Raw genomic sequence first — 3,172 nt, 5'->3', positions numbered from 1 at the left:
ACTAACAATTCTGTTTTCACACTTATCCAGCCAAGTTGCGAGAGAAACCCCTGAAGTAGTCTAAAACACATATTCAGTTATCAAAATTTTTGGTCCTCAAGTCACTTTGATTTTACTAAAAGCAATCATTTGAAGGACATCTTGTCAGCTGGAATCCCAAACAAACAGACGAGCGTGAAACAGGAGTAAGTGATTTGAATTCTAACAGTTTTCCCTTGAAATAAGCTTTGTAGTAAAGGTTGTGATGACAAGAAAAGATAAAAGAGAGCAGAGCTGCAAATAGAGTTCAGGATGACTTAAAAATCAAGTATAAACATAAAATGCTAGGAGTTTAGCCAGATGAGCACGCAGGAAAATCTCAGCCCTCCCTTCTTTCATTAAGATTTCTATTTCATATACTCTGAAGGTTGATGTCAAAGGGTGAATAAGCACCGAGGAACCCCTTGGGAAAGGTTCAGAGGGCTCCTGGTCAAGGTTAGCCCTATCATTAGGCAAAAGAGGCAGTAGCCTAGAGCCAAAGAGTATTAGGAGCAATGAAAACGTGTAGTGACTGGATACCCTTTGGCTGACTTCAGGCTTGCAGGCATCACAACATTTTCCAGTGTACCTAGGGCAACAAAAGTCTTCATCTCCACCTCTCAATTCAATCCAGGACATACAGTACTGATTTCCAACATTAAATTACATTGAGGGTTTTTTACTATTGTTGAATATAGCTATTTCCCATTGCTTATAATGCATATCTCTTTTAGGAAAAAAGAACAGAAAAATAAACGTGAAAGAGCTACATAATGTGAGATACCATCTACTCAAAAGTGTTTTAATAAGCAGATTTTGTTGATTTATACATTTCTATTGCGTGAATAGATTCATTGGATCTGTAAAACAACACCGGATTTTAAGGGATTTTAAACTACATTTGCTTAAAGACACGGGGCATTATCCAAGGGCTGCCATTCTGTATGTTGATACAGCTGTTGACCTACCAGAACCTACATACTTGATGATAATAACTCAAAAACTGTCTCTTTACCAGCCTTTAATCAAGTAGGAAAGATTTGTTGGAGCTCTCACTGCCTTCTATAAAACCTGCTGTTTGGTACCCATGGAATACCAAATTCTCACAACTGCTAGGCCACTCGCTAGTGCTGTATATCCATACAATTCTGTCCCAGACCCTGCCTTGTATGCCTAGCAACATGTGAAGATTTCTATTTCTAAATCCAGTCATTCCAGTTGTACTTATTACTGTCATTATGCAGTCTCATTAAATATTATTAAAAGCAATTATTATGGATATGAAGAACAAAAGATCTACTTCCTCTACAAAAACCAAATCAAATGCATTGAAAAGAGACAATAAAGTCAGGTCACCTTAAAAATAAATACTGTCATCTTAAGTTTGACCAAGACAACCATAAAAGATTGAGGAAGGAAATCAGATCATTTAAAAATGGGAAGAATAGTGGTCTTAGATTGCTTTGTAAGTTTCTGTAAGTTCCTCCTTCACCTAAGAAACTGAAGCTTCACATGGCCAATGATGCTGTGTAGGTGTCACTTGTCTGTGAGAGCCAATGAAGAACATTAATCAGAAGAACCAAACTCAAGAACAAGGTCATTTCCTGCTTCACAAGGTTGGTGAATTGGTGTATAATTATGGGTTTCTATTTATTTATTTATTTATTTATTTATTTATTTATTTATTTATTTATTTTGAGATGGAGTCTTGCTCTGTAGCTCAGGCTGGAGTGCAGTGGCACGATCTCGGCTTACTGCCACCTCTGCCTCCCGGGTTCAAGTGATTCTCCTGTCTCAGTCTCCCAAGCAGCTGGGATTACCGGTGCCTGCCACCATGCCTGGCTAATTTTTTTGTATTTTTAGTAGAGATGGGGTTTCAACATGATAGTCAGACTGGTCTCGAACTCCTGACCTCAAGTGATCCACCCGCCTTGGCCTCCCAAAATGTTGGGATTACAGGCATGAGCCACAGCACATAAGATTTGTGTAAGCTATTTTTACGCTTCTGTACGTTAACTGACTTTTTTGATTGGGTGATCCACTAAGGGTTTTATTTTGGTCAAAGAAGAATAATTGCATTTTATTACACATGAAATGATATTTTGGGATGGTACTGAGGTAGTTTCTCCTTTTCTATTGTCAGGGCCATCTTTACTTTGAAAGATACAGAAAGACTGTGTATATCCTTGCTTGTGATCTTCCCAATCAGTAGCATCTGTTTCTAGGTCAGATGGCATACAAGTTCCTCCTCTGCTAAGAGTTACTGCTTTTGTGCCTCCCCAAAAAGATATAATAAAAATAAGATTGAATATGGTCTTTTAATCTTGGAGTCATAAAAGAAATGTTGAGGGGCAGGGGCTCAAATCACTCCCAGATGAGACACCACAACTTGAAAAGTGATAGAGCATATGGCTTTGCATGTGTGAGGCTTCCTCTTGGAAAACAATAAAGGCAAATCACAGACAGGATCGGGAACACTGATTATTGCTTGGGTGTAATTTATTATATCTTAGATTCTGGAAAACAAAACATAGCAACATGCTTCACTCTTGTCATGCAGAGAATCTGTGACTATTTCTCTGTAGATAATCAGAGCCCGGATAATGGTCCTGAGATTGTCTAGGTGCCACTGTGAAAAATGCCTCAACCACAAATGGATTTCTAAGTAGCCAGACCTAATGGGCCACCTTTAATGATCAACAGAGCCAAATCTTGTTATTTCATACTTAAGGTAACTGGAGCAGGTAAACCACATATGATCTGATCAGTGTACTCATTAAAGAAAAAGTTGATGTATTTGCTCTAATATATGTCCCTGTGTCAGATATATGTGCCAATGACACATCAGAAAAATTTCTGTTAAGTAGATAATCATTGATTAACCTAATTAATTTCATAAATTAATTTTCCCCATAACTATAATAAAACTTTTTATGATGTGGTTTGATATATACAGATTATAAAATATCCAGGTTAAACCATGTCTATGCAAACACTTCCTAAAATGTGGATACTATAATACAACGTTACTTGCCTCCATCTCAGGAGGCTTTCCTTTTTGATATACCTATCATCCCTCTGGTGATATTTAATTAGGAATAATTACTGCAATCATTTACCTTAACTTAACCATCTTGGTCAAACTACTTTCTCT

The 3,172-nt window shown here is 37.4% G+C and overlaps 1 long non-coding RNA gene across 2 annotated transcripts; it reads left to right on the top strand.

The window, feature by feature from the left end:
* Window positions 1-2,812, top strand: LOC105372035 (uncharacterized). 2 transcript variants are annotated; one of them, NR_188008.1, is made up of 3 exons: window positions 1-185; window positions 753-1,634; window positions 2,604-2,812. It is a non-coding gene; the product is annotated as an uncharacterized LOC105372035 (long non-coding RNA). The 2 variants fall into 2 exon arrangements; NR_188007.1 differs by lacking the exon at window positions 2,604-2,812 and adding an exon at window positions 2,162-2,338.
* Window positions 2,813-3,172: the final 360 nt, after the last annotated feature.

This window comes from Homo sapiens, chromosome 18 (genome assembly GCF_000001405.40).
Source record: "Homo sapiens chromosome 18, GRCh38.p14 Primary Assembly".
Classification (NCBI taxonomy): Eukaryota; Metazoa; Chordata; class Mammalia; order Primates; family Hominidae; genus Homo; species Homo sapiens.
Note: the sequence above shows the minus strand (reverse complement) of the source record. Positions and strands in the feature narration are given on the sequence as shown.